The sequence below is a fragment of the Homo sapiens genome, chromosome 2 (assembly GCF_000001405.40).
Source record: "Homo sapiens chromosome 2, GRCh38.p14 Primary Assembly".
In the NCBI taxonomy this organism is placed as follows: Eukaryota; Metazoa; Chordata; class Mammalia; order Primates; family Hominidae; genus Homo; species Homo sapiens.
The window spans coordinates 98,873,570-98,890,766 of record NC_000002.12 but is presented as its reverse complement, the minus strand read 5'-3'; the positions used below and the strand labels follow the sequence as shown (position 1 = coordinate 98,890,766).

Genomic DNA, 17,197 nt, shown 5'->3' with positions numbered 1-17,197 from the left:
TTCAAATGCTTTGGGCATCGACATGTGGCTCAAATGAAATGCTCATTGCAGCATTTCAGATTTAGGATTTTTGGATTTGGAATGCTTAACTGGTATATATAATGTAAAATATTCAAAAATCTGGAAAACCCCTAACTCTGAAACACTTCTGATCCCAAGCATTTTGGATAAGGGATACATAATTTGTACTATTCTTTAAACATTTAGTAGAATTTATCTGGTAGAAGCCACCTGAGCCTTGGCTTTTCTTTGCGGGAAGTTTTAAAAGTCTTAATTCAATCTCTTCGGTTGTTTTGGTCCATTCATAATTTTTATTCCTTCTTTAGTCAGTTTTGGTAGTTTGTGTCTTTCTAGAAATTTGACCATTTAGGTTATCTAGCTTGTTGGCATGCCATTGTTTGTATTATTTTCTTATCATCTTTATTTCTGTAATGTTGGTAGTGATGTCCCCTCTTTCATTCTTAATTTCCGTAATTTGAGCCTTCTCTCCTTTCTTCTTGGTCAGTCTAACTAAAGGTTTGTTGATTTCATTGGTCTTTTCAAAGAACTAACTTTTGGTTTTGTTAGTTTTCTTTGTTTTTCTACTCTCAATTTTATTAATTTCTTCTCTAATCTTTATTATTGTTTTTCTCCTGTTTGCTTTCAGTTTCTCTTGCTCTTTTTCTGATTCCTCAAAGTGGAAGTTTAGGTAATTGATTTGAGACTTTTCTTCTTTTTTAACATTGTCACTTACAGCTATAAATATCCTTGCAAGCATTGTTTTAACTGCATACCATAAATATTGGTATGTGGTGGTTTTGTTTTTATTAATATCAAAGTATTTTCTACTTCTCTTATGATTTCTTCTTTGATCCATTGGTTATTTAGGAGTGTGTTGTTTAATTTCAATCTATTTGTGAATTTCTCAAATTTCTTTTGTTAGTGATTTCTAACAATTCTGTTGTGGTTGGAGAACATACCTTGCATGATTTAAATTTTCAAAAATTTGTTGAGACTTATTTTATGACCTGAGAGATGGTCTATCCTGGATAATGTTCCATGTGCCTTTGAGAAGAATGTGAATTCTGCTATTACTGGATGAGTATTCTATAGATGTCTGCTAGGTCTAGTTGGCGTAGCATGCTTTTCAAGTCTCCTATTTCCTTATTGATCTTATGTTTAATTTTTCTATGAATTATTGAAGTAGGGTATTGAAGATTCCAACTATTACTGCTGTCTTCCTTCAGTTTTGTCAGCTTTGCTTCATGTATTTTTGGCCTCTGATATTAGATGCACATATGTGTGTGGTTGTTTAATCTTGATTCATTGGTACTTTTGTCATTATACAATTTCCCACTTTGTCTGTAGTAATTTTTATCTTAAACAGACAATATTTTTTCTGTTATTAGTATAGCCACTCCAGCTCTGTTTTGGTTACTGTTTCCTTTCTTTCTTTCTTTCTTTCTTTCTTTCTTTCTTTCTTTCTTTCTTTCTTTCTTTCTCTCTCTTTTTCTGTTTCTTTCTTTCTTTTTCTCTTTCTCTCTTTCTTTTTCTTTCTTTCTTTCCTTCCTTCCCCTTCCTTCCTTCTTTTCTTCCTTCCTTCCTTCTTTCCTTCCCCTTCCTTCCTTCCTTCTTTTCTTTTCTTCCCCCCCCTTTTTTTTTTGACAGAGTCTTGCTGTGTTGCCAGGCTAGAGTGCAGTGGCATGATCTCGGCTCTCTGCAACCTCTGTCTCCCAGATTCAAGCGATTCCCTTGCCTCAGCCTCCCGAGTAGCTGGGACTATAGGTGCATACCACCATGCCTGGCTAATTTTTTGTATTTTAGTAGAGATGAGGTTTCACCATATTGGCCAGGATGGTCTCAATCTCCTGACCTCATGATCCACCTGCCTTGGCCACCCAAAGTGCTGGGATTACAGGCGTGAGCCACTGCGCCCGGCTTGGTTACTGTTTTCATAGTATATATTTTTTTCCATTCTTTTACTTTCAACCTATTTGTGTCTTTGAATTTAAATGTGTCTGTTGTATACAGCATAGATGTAGATCTTTTTAAAATTTTATTCTATTAACCTCTGCCTTTTAATTGGAGTATTTGAGTGATTTTTACTTAACATAATTTTTAATAAGGTGGGATTTACATCTGCCATTTTGCCCTTTGGTTTCTGTACATTTCATGTCTTTTTTGTGTCTCTATTCCTCCATTGCTCCTTTGATGTTCAACAGATATTTTCTAGTGTACCATTTTAATTCCCTTGCCATTTCTTCTACCATTTTTTTAGTTATTTTCTTAGTAATTGCCCTGGGGGTTTCAGATTGCATCTTAATTAATAACAATCTAGTCTGGATTAATACCAACTTAATTTCAATAATATACAAAAACTTTGCTCTTACATATGTCTATTCCCTCCTCCCTTTTCTGTGCTGTTGTTATACACATTATGTCTTTATATGCTCATTAACACAGATTTATAGCTATTACTTTCCACAGTCGTCTTTTAAATTAGAAGGAAAAAATTACAAACAAAAGTATATTTATACTATGTTTTATTTTTACCCATGTAATTGCCTTAACTAGTACTCTTTATTCTTTCATTTGGATTTGGATTACTGTTCAATGCTCATTTCATGTAAGACAGGTTTGCTAGTGCTAATTTCTCTATGGTTTTTGTTTATCTTGGAATGTCTTAATTTTCCCTTCTTTTAAAAATTGAGGTGAAATTCATGTAACATAAAATTAATCATCTTAAACTGAATGATCTAGTGACAGTGCATTTACAGTGTTGTACAACCACCACATGTATCTAGTTCCAAAACATTTTCTTCACCCCAAAAGAAAACTCTATACTCGTTAAGCAATTTCTCCCCATTCCTTTTATTTTTGAAGGGTAGTTTTGCTGGATATAGTGTTCTTGGTCCACAGTATTTCTCCTTCAGCCTGGATAGTTCATCTCAGTGCCTTCTGGCATCCATAACTTTTCATGATAAATCAGTTACTAATTTTATCTTATATGTGATAAGTCACTTCTCTCTTGCAGCTTTCCAGATTCTCTCTTTGTCTTTGGGCTTGACTGTTTGATTATGATATGTCTAGGTGTCGATCTCTTTGAGTTTATCCTCCTTGAAGGTCATCAAGCTTCTTGAATGGGTCGTGTTTTCCTCAAATTTTGGAAGTGTTCAGTTACTAGTTCTTTGAATATTCTTTCTGCACCTTTCTCTTTCCTCCGTTTCTGTGGCTCTCAGTGTACACGTTGTATGCTCAGTGGTATCCTACCCCAAGGTCTTTGAGGCTCTGTTCATTTTTCTTTTTCTTTTTTTCTTTGTCACCCCGGCTGGAGTGCAGTGGCTTGATCATGGCTCATTGCAGCCTTGACCTCCAGGGCCCAAGCAAATCCTCTGCCTCAGCCTCCTGAGTAGTTGGGACTACAGGTGCACACAACATGTTTGGCCAATTTTTAATTTTTTTTTAAATAGAGATAGGACCTTGCTATGTTGCCCAAGCTGGTCTTGAACTCCTGACCAGCAATTCTCCTGCCTCAGCTTCCCAAACTGCTGGGATTATAGGCATGAGCCACTGTGCCAAGCCATTTTTCTTCATTGTTATTTTTTTCGATGCCTTAAATTGGCTAATCTCAATTGACCTGTCTTCAAGTTCACTGAATCTTTCTTCTTTTAGTTTAGATATGCTATTGAGCCCCTCTAGTGATTTTTAAATTTCAGTAATTGTACTTTGCAACTCCAGACCTTCTATTGGTTCTCTTTAAAAATTTTTCCTTATGTGTATTGTCTATTTGATGAGGCATCATTCTCATACTCTCCTTTATATATGTTTTCTTGATTCTTTGAAAATATTTAAAAGAATTTATTTAAGTTCTTTGTCTAGCAGATCTGACTGGGCTCCCTATATGTGGACCATATTTTCTTGTTTCTTCTTATATCTTGTAATTTTTTGCTGAAAATTTTAAAAATATAATGTGGCAACTTAGAATATTAGATTCTTTCTCTCTCCCTAGGGTTTGTTGTTGTTGTTCTTTGTTTATTGACTTTTCTGAACTAATTCTGTAAGGTTTATATTTTTGTCATGTGTGGCCACTGAAGTCTCTGCCTAGTTGGCTTAGCAATCAGCTAATGATCAGACTGAGATTTTCTTAAACATTTAGAACTAGTAAACCTCCCAATATTTGCTGAAATCTCTGTGTGCATGTTGGGACACTCCTTTCAACACTCAACCAGGCAGTTGATGACTCTGTCTAAACCCTCTCTTCCTATTTGTGCAGAATCTCAAGATCAGCCTTGAGAGCTTAGTTAGGGCCTTCTCAGGCCTTCCCTGAGTATATGCGCAGGTGATATTCTAGATACCCAGGGATATGCTGAGCTTCCTTGCAAGCTTTTTAGACAATCTGTTGTTTGCCCCAACTGTTATTCACTTCCTCAGGCAGCTGTGAAGTTAAATATTTGCCGGTAATTGTCTTCAGCAAGCACCTCAGTGGGAGAGAAAAGGCTTTTCACACTGGGTGACTTCTGACTCAGGTCATAGTGGGTTTTCCTTCTTGCAAGTGAGGTTTTTCAGGGAACCACCAGCCAGGTCAATTAATGACAAATCTCTGAGAATGAAGCTTTGAAGAATCTTCAACCCAGTTGTCCCCTTCCAGCAGCTGCCAGGCTGCTGGTTTATACAGTTATTAGGAAGCTGTTGGTTGTCAAGGCTGCCATGGAACTAGAGAGCAGGGTAGTGAAATATGGCAAGCTAAAATGCTGTAGAGCTCACTAATTTTACCGAGATTTGGCTGTTTATCTCAAATAAATGTTCCCTGAATTATTGCATTAATTTCCAGAGTTCTGACAAAGTTCATTCTGACCTTTTTTTTTTTTAACCAGTTTTCTCATTATTTTCATGGGGGAGAGAGTTTTTGGAGATCCTTATTCTGTCATTTTTGCTGATGTCACTTGCTTTTGGTTTTATTATTTAAAGTGTTTTGAATCACATTGAATGTTTGATATCATCATATTTGATTAACCAAGAGAGATCAGTTTTGTCACTCATTCACTTTGTGTCCTGAGGCAAGTTGCAGAACCTGTCAATCTCAGTTCCATTGCTTGAAAAATGGTTGGTTGGTTGCCAAGTGAGAGCTCCAGTTTTTACCACCTCTGAGATTCTGAGCCTCTGAAGGCCATATTTTCATCTGCATTTTCTATTATCCCCTTGTGCAGTTTTATTGAGCTTATTTTTTTAAGTTCATACCACACCCTGTCAGTCATATTTTCATGACAGTTATTTCATTCTGAATGGTAAACATTAGCATCCAACAGCATCATTATGGCTTTTGGCTGTTATTTATTTCTGCTGAGAAACTTTAAAAATGCAGTTGCTATGTATTTTACCACCATAACAAAACTGGAAAAAAAATGCAGTAGCTTTTCCCACCAACATCCTCCCCCTTGGTTTAGCAGCTCCTCGGCATAAGTTAAAAGAGAGACCTTTAAATCAGCCTAGTACAGGGTACTGATATGAAGTCAGGAGTTCCGATCCCATATTATCCAAGCCTTACGTCTCACACACCCTTCATAGTTGCTGAGGAATTGGCCCCAGCAGCAGATTTCAGTCACTGTCTAGACTGGATCATCTCTATGAACCACAGCCCCTGTATTTGAGCTTCGACTTCTTCTGATGGTCCCATGGTACAGATGCCTAATTGCCATAGATACACACCCTTCCACACTCCTACACCTTTCTATGCCCTGCACCCTCTTGCTACCTTCCTTTTGAGCTGAAGCTGACTCAGTGGTCACTTGTTCCAAGGTTTGAAGAAGCAGGCACAGGATCTGACTGCACTCTCTGGAAGGCCCAAGTCCATCCTCCTGTTTTTCAGGTGCCTGCAGGTGGGGATAGGTCTCAGTCCTGTCAGGCTGCTCTAACAGAATACCATGAACTGGGCGGCTCACAAACAACAGCAGTGCCTTTCTCACAGTTCTGGGAGCCAAAAAGTTCAAGATGAAGGCGTTGGCAGGTTGGTGTCTGGCAAGAGTCCCCTTCCTGGTTCATGGACAGCTGTCTTCTCTCTGTGTTCTCACATAGCAGGAGTGAGGGAACACTCTGGGGTCCCTTTTATAGGGCACAGATCCCATTTGTGAGGGCTCCACCCTCATTACCTAATCACCTGCCAAAGGTCCCACCTCCTAATACCATTGCACTGGGGATTAGGTTTCAACACGTGAATTTTAGGCAGGGGACCTAACAATTTTGTGTATATAGGATCATCCATGCAATCCTCTGTCCACTGGAGTTGGGTCAGGTGGCAGTGATGGGCAGGGATGTCCTGCTGCCTGGCTCTGTCACTGTGGAAGAGGGTGGGGTTCAGGTCCAGCCCCACCACCTTACTCTATTTTGCCTGCTTCCAGCCCTGCATGTTTCTTCTCTGAAGACCTGTGCAGAGAGTGTGATAGGTACTTGGCAATATCTGGCTATTGCCCTCCCTGTCCTTCTGTGTTGAGCCCTTTCTCCTGGCTGTGTGAGCTGTGCAGGCCCCTGAGTTATTTGGCCAGTGTAGGAGATTGCTGCTGATCCAGGCTCCCTCTTGGACTCAGTGCTGCTGGTCTGTGGCAGGCAGGGGCAGGTGTTTGCCTGTGCTTCCAGGCCTCCTTAGCACCAGGCTCTGCCGTGCCGCCCCCCTCATGCCCTCTACTGGCCCGTATCTCCAGGTGGGTGGGGCACCTGTGGGTCTGCTGCCCCGCTCCTGCCCCATCCCCCCAACACACGCCGCTTCCCAGCCACCGATCAGCTCCTGTGGGCGGCACTATTTCTGAATCCCAGTGAGTTAGGACGGGACAGCCAGAGCAGGTCTGTCTGGAGGTGGTGTGGGTGGGTGCCCATGTGCTGCATTTTGAGAGATGCCAAAAATAACAGTGAGCAATAATCCCTGCCATTAGCTTCATCCCTCCTTTGTACATTACATCATCTCATTCGGTCCTAAACAACAGCCTGGATGACAGGCCTTGTTTTCCCCTTTTGATAGGTGAGAAACTTACTAGGCCCAGGCTGTTAAGCAACACCAGGGCTCCAGTAAAGACAGAACTTGGAGTTACTTCTGTTCTACCCGGGCTCGGGTTTATTCTCTGGATGGTAGAAATTTGTCATCTCTGGTTCGTTGCACTGGCTGTGTTAGCTTTATACAAACACGCTCTTCCCAACGGGCCAGGGAACCAGTGGGAGCAATATGCTGCTGCCCCTTGCCGAGCACCTGATACGTACATGACTCCAGGCTGAGCTTTCCAGGTGCAGGTCTCAGGCCAGCAGTGCAGGCGCCTGAGAACTTTCAGCCTTGTTTATGCTTTGAGCCCCTAGGGCTGACTGCCTGCCATCTTAATCCCACCCAGCCTGGTGTTTCTTCCAGCCTCCAGCACCCAAGTTCTGGGAGGTGGATTGTGGTGCCTAGGCATGTGGATGGGAGAAACACCACTGTTCCTCCATGCCAACAAGACCTCCATCCTCCCAGCTCTGTGCCAGTCACCCTGGGTTGGCATGGAGCCTTCTGTCTTGTGGTCTCTTTTGTTTTTGGTGACCTGCCCTGCCCTAGGGCACCCCGCCCCTGCTCCCAATGGGCACAGAATACTGTATGAGACATCCAAAGGCTTCCTTTCCCAAACACCACTTGCAGCTCTTTCTATCCAAGGACCTTGCTGCCACTACCTGGGTCTGCCTATGTCTGTCTCACTCTAAGACGCTTCATCCTTTGCTAGGTTCTTTCCCACCTGGCAGGAGAAGTGTGGCCATCAGATCACACTGGGCACGTGCAGGGGATGGGCCAAAGCTTGAGGTTTGCTTATTCTGCTGGTTACTGAGCTGTTGAAAAGTCACCCTGATACAAAGGGGTCATCCCTCTACCCTGTGAATCCACAACAAACAGATGCTGCTTCTACTGATACCTGCCTTAGAGATTGCCTCAGCCTGTCCTGGCTGTCACTGAAAGTCCTGAAAGTATCCCAAGCCCCTTTGTTCTACAGATCTAAAAATGGAACCAAACAAAGCATTCCGTGTGGAATCGGGGGGTTCAAATGGTTTGACATCACTCAGCCAGCCCCTGTTTGCTCAGGGAATGAGTTGGGACTCTTTCTGTTGCAGATGAGGCTTGTTTGGCTTTAAAAAAACCAGAGAGACAGGTTTTATGGCTCATCTGGAAAATCACAGCTAGCTAGCTTCAGGAATAGCTGGATCCAGGACTCCCAACAGAGTCCCCAGAGGCATTTGCTTTTCCTCTCTTCATTGTGCGGTGCTTCCTTCCTTCATAGACTCTCATTTTCCCAGGCCCAGCAGAAAAGAAATATTCTCTTGCAACAATTCTGAAAATCCATGAGCTTCACTCTCCTGGGCCTGAAACCAGTCACATACCTGTCCCTGAAACAGCCACTCTTGCCAGGGGATAGAACTACATTGACTGGCTTAGGCCTGGGCCATGTCTGCAGTTTCTGTCTTGGGCCATACTATGTATTAAGAGTCTGGCTAACTGAATTCCTGGGTGATCACAATTTCTAGCCCTGCTGGAGGAGTGGTCCCCTCTGTTCAGTAGTGCCCTGAGTAGAGCTGCTGCCTCACCACTGGTTTCAAGTGAAATGCAGCCTAAGTGGCCTTTAGTCGCCCGGCTGAGTTCCCATTTCTAGGAGGCTGCAGTCCCTCCATTCTCCTTTATTTGGCCTTCAGTGACTCAAAGGAAAACCTTTTGTTCTGGAGACTGTCGTATGGGACGTGGAACCAGGTGCCCCCACACAGCAACCATGTTGTGTTTTAGTCCCATCAACTCTACTGTTCCCAGGTCCTCCCCCAGGATTAGAAAGCATCATGCCCCTTCCCAGGGAACTCCAGTTGTCCAGGCCTTCTGAGTGCAGCCTAAACAATTAGAGGCTGGGTCTTCCTGGGCTGCCTTAAGCCTGTGTTGGAAGAGGCACCTCTCAGAAGTGGACTGGATCAACTTCAGAGACTCCCTCCTCTCCCCGCCATGATGCTGTGTGCCCAGCTTCCACACCAGGTCACAGACCCGGAAAACACTCGTTGGCCATGAGTGGCTTCCATCGCCTGGATGGTGCAGAAACCAAGCTTGTGGCAGCTCCTTGTCCTTGTGGGTGAGCCCCATTTGCATATACATGGCGCCCCAGCTGAAGGCTCCCCTGATGACACGAGGGTCACACTCAAAGGTGTTGATACACCTCTAGAACCGTGGTTCTCTACTCTGCCTGCATTCCAAAATCACCAGGGTGGGGCTTCAAAAATTACACACCCTTGCCCCACTGCCAGCAGCTGGGCTGAGGCATAACCTGAGTGTCAGGATTTGTCAGAGCTCCCAGGCAATTCTGATGTGCAGCTGGGGTTGAGAACAAGAGCTGTAAGGCAGTGCTTCTCAAGCTTGAATGTGCAGAGGAACCACCTGGGGACCTTGGTGAAGTGCAGATTCAGATTCCCCAGTCTGCGGGGAGCCTGAGTGTCTGCATCTCCGACCTGCTCCCAGGTGGGGCTGAGGCCGCTGGGCCCCAGGCTGCACTTGAGGGGCAGGGGTACCAGCGTTCCCTCCGTGAGGCTTCTGAACATGCCCTGGCAGGTGAGCACATCAGCCTGTGACCATGCTCACCATCACAGACTTGGTCCTACAGGGCTGCCTCCAGGTAGAAACCAAAGCCACAGCCTCCCCAGACACAGAAGTGTCCATCTGGTTTCAAGCAGGTGCCGAGTGCGGCCCATCTGACGTGTCGGCTCTGAAGCCACTAGGAGCCCTGCAGTGGCGCTGATAGCCATCCTGAGAGTGGAAGGGGTGAGGCCTCTCCAGGGGGTTTTAGCTCACAGCCCCTCAAGCTATTAAAAAGGGCATTCTGCAAGTTCTCCTTCAGCCACAGCAGCCGAGGGGCCAAGTGAGTAGGGGAGGCAAGGCTTCCCCCTTGCGGGGAGGTGGATGTGTCACACTTGTCCAAATGACCATCTGTCACAGTGGCCAGAAAGCCCCCCGGCTGGGGGCTCTCCCGACACCTGCCTTCCCTCGGGACCCATTGGGGCAAGTCTGGGTTGAGTTTGGCTCCAGTGCCTTGCCCTTGGAGCAACTAGATGCAGGTGTGGGAGGAGACCTTGTCAGCTCCTCTCCTGGCTTTGTGGCCACCTGACCTCGCGGCCAGAGAACTGGAAATCCTCTTACTAACCCAGGGGCAGACACCCTGCAAACACCCGCTCAGAAACACACTCCATCCTATCGTCTGTAGGACTCAGGATGCCCAGAGAAGGGGGGGCCCACCTGCCCGCCGTGCCCATACTGATGCAGCGATGTCACTCACTGCCACCTGATGATGCTACCTTTTAGTCACAACTCCGAGTTGCCTGGCTTGGTGCTCATAATATTCTATTCAGCTACTGCTTAAGGAGTAAGCATATATCAGCTACTTAGAACAGCGCCTAGCACAGGGTAAGCTGCCATCATCATCATGCCTTGGCTTCCTGGAACAGTAAAGTTGGAGAATTCTCCAATGTCCTTGTTCGTTCACAGGATCTTGTCTGATCAGCACAGCCCGTCCTCCTCTGGTCACTCTTCCGTGCATCAGTCAACTAAGGAACGCAGGCAAATGCTCCCTTAGTGACTACAGTACCATGCCCAGTGCTGCGTCCAACATAACCTGTACCAATAGGAGGATTACACAGTGTACGCGTTGCACTGTATTAATAACTCTGCATTTATTTAACACCTACCAAGTACTCAGCACTGTGGGATATGCAGAACTTATCAAGTTTATTGGTACCGTGCACACGCACTTTACAGTCTAACTGAGGAGGCCAGTTATGACCCATGAGGCAACGCAGAAGTCATTATGTGCTAAATGGTGTGGGCCACCTGTATACTGTGTCCACCCCCATGGAAATATTGAAGAAAATTGAGGCTTCGCTGCTTTTTTAAAGATCTTTGAAATACAGAGGCTGAGGCTGCGCACAGTGGCTCACGCCTGTAGTCCTAGCACTTTGGGAGGCCAGGGCGGGCGGATTGCCTGGGCTCAGGAGTTCGAGACCAGCCTGAGCAACACGGCGAAACCCTGTGTTTACTAAAATGTAAAATATTAGCTGGGCACGGCAGTGTGCACCTGGGACAGCTACTCGGGAGGCTGAGGCAGGAGAATTGCTTGAACCCAGGAGGGAAAGGTTGCAGTGAGCCGAGATTGCGCCACTGCACTCCAGCCTAGGCAACAGAGTGAGACGCCATCTCTGAGAAACATAATAATAAATAAAATACAGAGGCTAGAATGATTTGGAATGTTAGGTGTCTCATATAATGAGCCAAATGCATTTCCATATTGTTCTGTGTCCTCACTCTCTAAATGCATGTCTCAGAATTACAAACTAGGAAGATATTGATGTCGAACCAGGCCAACCCCACATCCACATCACACAGAGAATCCTATGAAACAGTTCAAAGAAAATCAACTATTTGACATTTGTTTTTCTTAGAGATTCAGAAGAAATGAACACAGTGAAAGACCTTAATAAAAGCGAGTGCAGGTTTGGTATCTGAGGCATTCTTTCCTTAGGTTTTCTAAGCATAGGTGGTGAGGCTCACTCATTCATAAAACATTTATCAAGCCTCACTGTGCATATGTATTAGGGCTACCAAGATGAAAAGAACTGGTTTCTGCCCTCAGGGAGCTCAGAGTCCAGGAGGGAGATGTGTGAAACCAGGTGTGAGTGGGCAGGGGCTCGGAGGAAGGGAGCAGGTTGCCAGGGCAGCGGGAAGATTTCTCAGGGCCAGGGTGGTGGTAATGGCTGGAGGTGAGGTGCACTGGGCCAGGCCAGAGGGACTTTCTGTGGTCATAGCATTCATTTTTCTGGATCACACACAAGCTGTATATTGAGAACCAGATTTTGAAAATATATCTTCAATACAGATGGTCCCTACCGTACAGTGGTTCAATTTAGGATTTTTCAACTTCACGATGGTATGAAAGCCATACGCATTCAATGGAAACTGTACTTCTCTCGTGATGCTGGGCGCCTCTCAGTCAGCCATGCGTTTGCCACTACAATATTTTTAGCTTACGATGGGTTTATCCGGACATAACCCCATAGTACGTCGAGGAGCATCTGTACCTGTTGGTCTCAGCTCCTGTACCTGTTTCATATGTTGGTTAACTAAAACATCTTCACGTAAAACTGAGTTTGTGCCAATTTTACAGACTTTTATTTTTCAAAAGTAAAATACAGTCATGGATCACTTAATAGCAGGAACATGTTCTGAGAAATGCATCCTTAGGTGATTTCATCGTGTGAACATCATGTAATATGCTTACGCAAACCTAGATGGTATAGCCTACTATGCAGTGAGGCTACATGTGGCCTGTTTCTTCTAGACGACAAACCTGAACAGCATGTTACTATACTGAACACTGTAGGCAATTGTAATACAATGGTAAGTTTGTGTGTATCTGAACATGTCTAAACATAGAAAAGGGATAGTAAAAAGGGACAGTATCTGAACATATCTAAACATAGAAAAGGGACAGTAAAAAGATGGTATAAAAGATTAAAAATGGGCCGGGTGCGGTGGCTCATGCCTGTAATCCTAGCACTTTGGAAGGCCAAGGCAGGTGGATCACCCAAGGTCAGGAGTTTGAGACCATCCTGGCCAACATGGTGAAACCCCATCTCTACTAAAAATACAAATATTAGCTGGGTATGGTGGCGCACGCCTGTACTCCCAGCTACTTCGGAGGCTGAGGCAGGAGAATCGCTTGAACCTGGGGGGCAGAGGTTGCAGTGAGCCAAGATCGTGCCACTTCACTCCAGCCTGGGCAAAAGAGTGAAACTCCATCTCAAAAAAAAAAAAAAAGATTAAAAATGGTACAACATTATAGTTCCTTACTATGAATGGAGCTTGCAGGACTGGAGGAGTTGCTCTGGGTGACTGAGTGAGTGAGTAGTGAGTGAATATGAAAGCCTAGGATATGACTGTACACTACTGTAGACTTTATAAACACTATGAACCGAGGATATACTAAATTTATTTATTTTAAATTTTTTTATTATTTTTGAGACAGAGTCCCACTGTGTTTCCCAGGCTGGAGTGCAGTGGCGCGACCTCAGCTCACTGCAACCTCCTCCTCCCAGGTTCAAGCAATTCTCCTGTCTCAGCCTCCCGAGTTGCTGGGACTATAGGCACCCGCCACCATACCCGGCTAATTTTTTTGTATTTTTAGTAGTAACGGGGTTTTCACCATATTGGTCAGGCTGGTCTCAAACTCCTGACCTCAGGTAATCCGCCTGCCTCGGCCTCCCAAAGTGCTGGGATTACAGGCATGAGCCACCAACTAAATTTATTTTTAAAACTAATTGCACTATGATGTTACAATGTCTCTAACATCACTAGGTGATAGGAATTTCCCAGCTCCGTTATAATCTTCTAGGATCACTGTCATGTATGCTTTTCATCATTGACTGAAACACCGTTACGTGGTGCATGACCATAATAGAATGTTAGATATCGGAGCCCAAACCACTTGGATCACAGTTGAGGCCCAGAGAGGGAAATGACTGATCACAAGTCACTCAGCTGCTTAGGAGCTTGTTAGTGGTAAAGTCGAGGGTAGAACCCAGTTCTACAGACTTATTGCTATTTCTACCAATAGAGGCAGCAAGCGTCTAGCCAAGTGCTGCCCTGAGCCACTGGCAACAGCTGCCTGGAGTATACACTGTGCTGTGAGCAACCTGAGAATGACACTGTGATTGATTACTGATTTCTGCCAAGGGCAGGTAATGGGAGCGTGGCAATGGATGTGCCGGTGTTGCATTTTTGCTTTATCTTTCCTTGTGGTGATGAAAAGAATGTATCTCTAAAAGTGGAAGCTGTGGTTACTAATCCCATTAGACAGTAGACTTACAATGCATTTATTTAAGTCTGTGACCATTTACTGGGGCCTAACACATGCTGTCGGTGCTGGGAAGACAAAGCTGAATTTCACCTAGCCTGGTCCTTCACAGGCTCACAGTCTTAGGGCAAAAGCCTTGTTCAGTAGGGAAACTTCCTGAGATTTCAACAACTTGTACACAATGAGAAAATGTGAAAATAATTTAATAGTGGATTTAAACTCTCTAGAGCAGCAGTCCCCAATCTTTTTGGCACCAGAGATCAGTTTCATGGAAGACAATTATTCCATGGACCAGGGAAGGGCAGGGGGATGGCTTTGGAATAAAGTTGTTCCACCTCACACCATCAGGGATTAGCCAGATTCTCATAAGGAGTGTGCAACCCAGATCCCTCACATGGCGCAGTTCACAATAGGGCTCGCACTCCTATGAGAATCTAATGCCGCTGCTGACCTGACAGGAGGTGGAGTTCAGAGGGTAATGTTTGCTCGCCCGCTACTTACCTCCTGCCGTGTGGCCTGCTTCCTAACAGGCCACGGTCTGGTACCAGTCCACGGCCCAAGGGGTTGGGGACCCCCACTCTAGAGCATTCATGCTGCTTGTCTAAACTCTTTTTAACTTAAAATAAAAACTAAATTAATACCTTTTCAGTTACTAAACTTTCAAGGTGATTTTAGATCTGTAAAGGAATCTAAATATTACCTATATTTTTACTCTCGATTTAAGAAAATAAAGGCAAACAAATTCAGACATACTATTTGTTCTCAATAATTGTATAATTTCCTCATATCTACATCTCCAACTCTAAACCTGAATGTTCTCCCAGGTCAGGGAGATCACTGGAGCACACTGGCTTTTGCTCTCAAGTGTAAGAAACCAGTTTGCAAGCTTGTGGCTTAACCTGGGGTCCGGCTGACTGATGGAAAACCTGAGAGCTGACCAAGAGGAAAGCAAGCAGGCCGGCAGGCCATGTGATGTGCCTACAGACAATGTTCTGCAGCCCCACCGGGGCAAATCGTTGGCATCTGTGGCCTCTATGTCATCAGAGTTCCAAAGTGCCAGCCTACCAGGGGCAAATGTGTAATCTCATTAGCTGACAGGTTCCTATCATGTTTATTTTTGTTTAATAAATGCAGATACTAGCTCTGTATGGAACATGTATTTCTGTCCTTCGTGCTGAAGCCTATTTTCTTAGTCTCTTGTAATGGGTTATTTCCCAGTAATTCATGATGCCCCTGTGTTGAATCATTTATGTCTGCATGTCTTACGTGTCAGGCCACAAGGATCCTGAGTGCGGTTCTTCTGCCCAGACCACCAGCTGATAGAATGTCGGGTGACAGCCCACTGTCCCAGGCTTGCTCTGTTCTCTCTTGCTGTCTGTCAACTGGGACTTTCCTTCTTCCCTCTGTCAGAGATTGCAGTGGCCTGTCTCATCACACCCATACAGAGCGACTGACAGATGTGACAGATGTCGGTGAGGAGCACAGTGTCTGAGATGACACAGCTGGGAGTTGCTAATTTGCTGAGCTGACTAGCGGTGGCCTGTCTTGTGTGAAGAAGCACAGGGAAGTGGCAGTTAGGAGGCCAGGCATCTGGTTGTGCCTTTCCCACTAGGTGACTGTGAAAACCTGAGCCAGCAGCCAAATCTTTCTCTGAGCTGCGTCTTCATGTGCTGAGTGAAGGGCCCGACCACACTCTCTTCTGTGACTCGTGGTGTACATGGGCGGGGGGCCGTGCCTGCCCCTGACAGTGAGGTGCTTAACTTAGGCGGTTGTACAGAGTGACGGCACTTTGGGAGGTGATGTTTGCAAGGCATTCCTGCGAATGTGGTTTGATCTCATAAGATGCTTATTATGCAGACTGTGTTTGTTCTGCACGCAGTACATGGGCTCCAGGTGGGAGGGAAGTGAAGAACAAATTGTGTAGCAGGCCTTGTCGGGGGCATTGCTACAGTGGGGTTGTTTTGGGGAGGACATCTTGCTTTCCTTGGAGATGGCCAGAGGAACAGAATCGGGGTGAGCCTAGGTTGCCTTCATGAGCCGAGGGTCTGTGTTTGTGACACCCTTGGAAACAGCATGAAGTGATCAGTAACGAGGATGGGACTTTCTTTGTAGAAACACCAGCATTTGTCCCCTGTGCCTTGGGCTACCTCTAATGGTGGGGTGGTGGGGTGACAGATGATGACAATACTGGGCTGGCCCAAGACCAGAACAGAAGGAACCACTGGTTCTGTCACCATTCCTTGCCCAAAAACCTTCCAGAGATTCTGCAGTCCCTTGTTGTTCCACAGTGTGGATTTTTGGAGGCCGTGGAGGAGGTCACCACACAGGTCCCATCTTTAAGAACAAGTTCTCCAATGACTATTCTTTGCCTCCTGGACACTGGGAGGGGTGCATCCAGGCATGCGGAGGGAGACTGGCCCCACGAGGCGCAAGGTGCAATGATTCTGCCCAGCAGCCCGTGCGGAGCCTCCTGACTCCCGGCTAGGGCATAGCCCTCAGGTTTCACTCTGGTGTTCCCACAGAGCCATGTCCACCTGGAAGGAACTGTGAGAAACCATCAGGGGGGCAACATGAGCTGCAGCTGCGGTTTCCTGTTTCGATTTTGATCAGGGATCAATGTAATCTATGATGGCTGTTGGGTTCTATATAGCATCACTTTGGGGTATTAAGCGAGAAAAGAACGTATCTGTGGCAGGTACCACTTATAAAAGTTCACCCTGAACAACACACAGCAAAGGGAAGATTCTGAAGTTACCTAACTCGTTTCTGATCATTGTTAACAATAGATCTAAGTAATTTAAGTGCTCAATTGGGCTTTGGGGCTATAATTGGTTGACTGCCTTTGCAGCTGAAAAGAACTTACCAGTAGCAAACTTGTCTTGCGGAATTATTTCTTTTTTTTATTTTTGAGACAGAGTCTCACTCAGTCACCCAGGCTGGAGTGCAGTGGCACAATCTCAGCTCACTGCAACCTCTGCCTCCTGGGTTCAAGCAATTGTTGTACCTCAGCCACCTGAGTAGCTGGGATTACAGGCATGTGCCACCACGCCCAACTAATTTTTGTATTTTTAGTAGAGATGGGGTTTCTCCATGTTGGCCAGGCTGGTCTGGAATTCCTGACCTCAGGTGATCTGCCTCCCTTGGCTTCCCAAAGTGCTGGGATTCCAGGCATGAGCCACCACGCCCAGCCAATTGTGGAGTTATTTCAACAGACTAGATGTTCAAAATATTCCGTGAGGAAAAGCACGTTGTAATGTTTGTAAATCCCCATGAGTGGGTGAGGGTTCCTCTTAGAGGGGCGGTGGGCTAAGTGGCACATCATGTGGGGGATCCTCTCGCCTATT

The 17,197-nt window shown here is 45.3% G+C and overlaps 1 protein-coding gene across 6 annotated transcripts in view, besides 2 other annotated features; it reads left to right on the top strand.

Annotated features, from left to right (window-relative positions):
- Nucleotides 1–17,197, top strand: part of CRACDL (CRACD like) — a 142,380-nt gene that overhangs the window by 45,459 nt on the left and 79,724 nt on the right. The gene's annotated exons all lie outside the window — the stretch shown is intronic.
- Nucleotides 14,976–15,035: an enhancer, noted in NCBI's record as "active region_16271". NCBI's record gives its function as "activates an Ori minimal core promoter by ATAC-STARR-seq in GM12878 lymphoblastoid cells {active_cell/tissue: GM12878}" and the evidence as "EXISTENCE:reporter gene assay evidence [ECO:0000049][PMID:35858748]".
- Nucleotides 15,356–15,405: an enhancer, noted in NCBI's record as "active region_16270". NCBI's record gives its function as "activates an Ori minimal core promoter by ATAC-STARR-seq in GM12878 lymphoblastoid cells {active_cell/tissue: GM12878}" and the evidence as "EXISTENCE:reporter gene assay evidence [ECO:0000049][PMID:35858748]".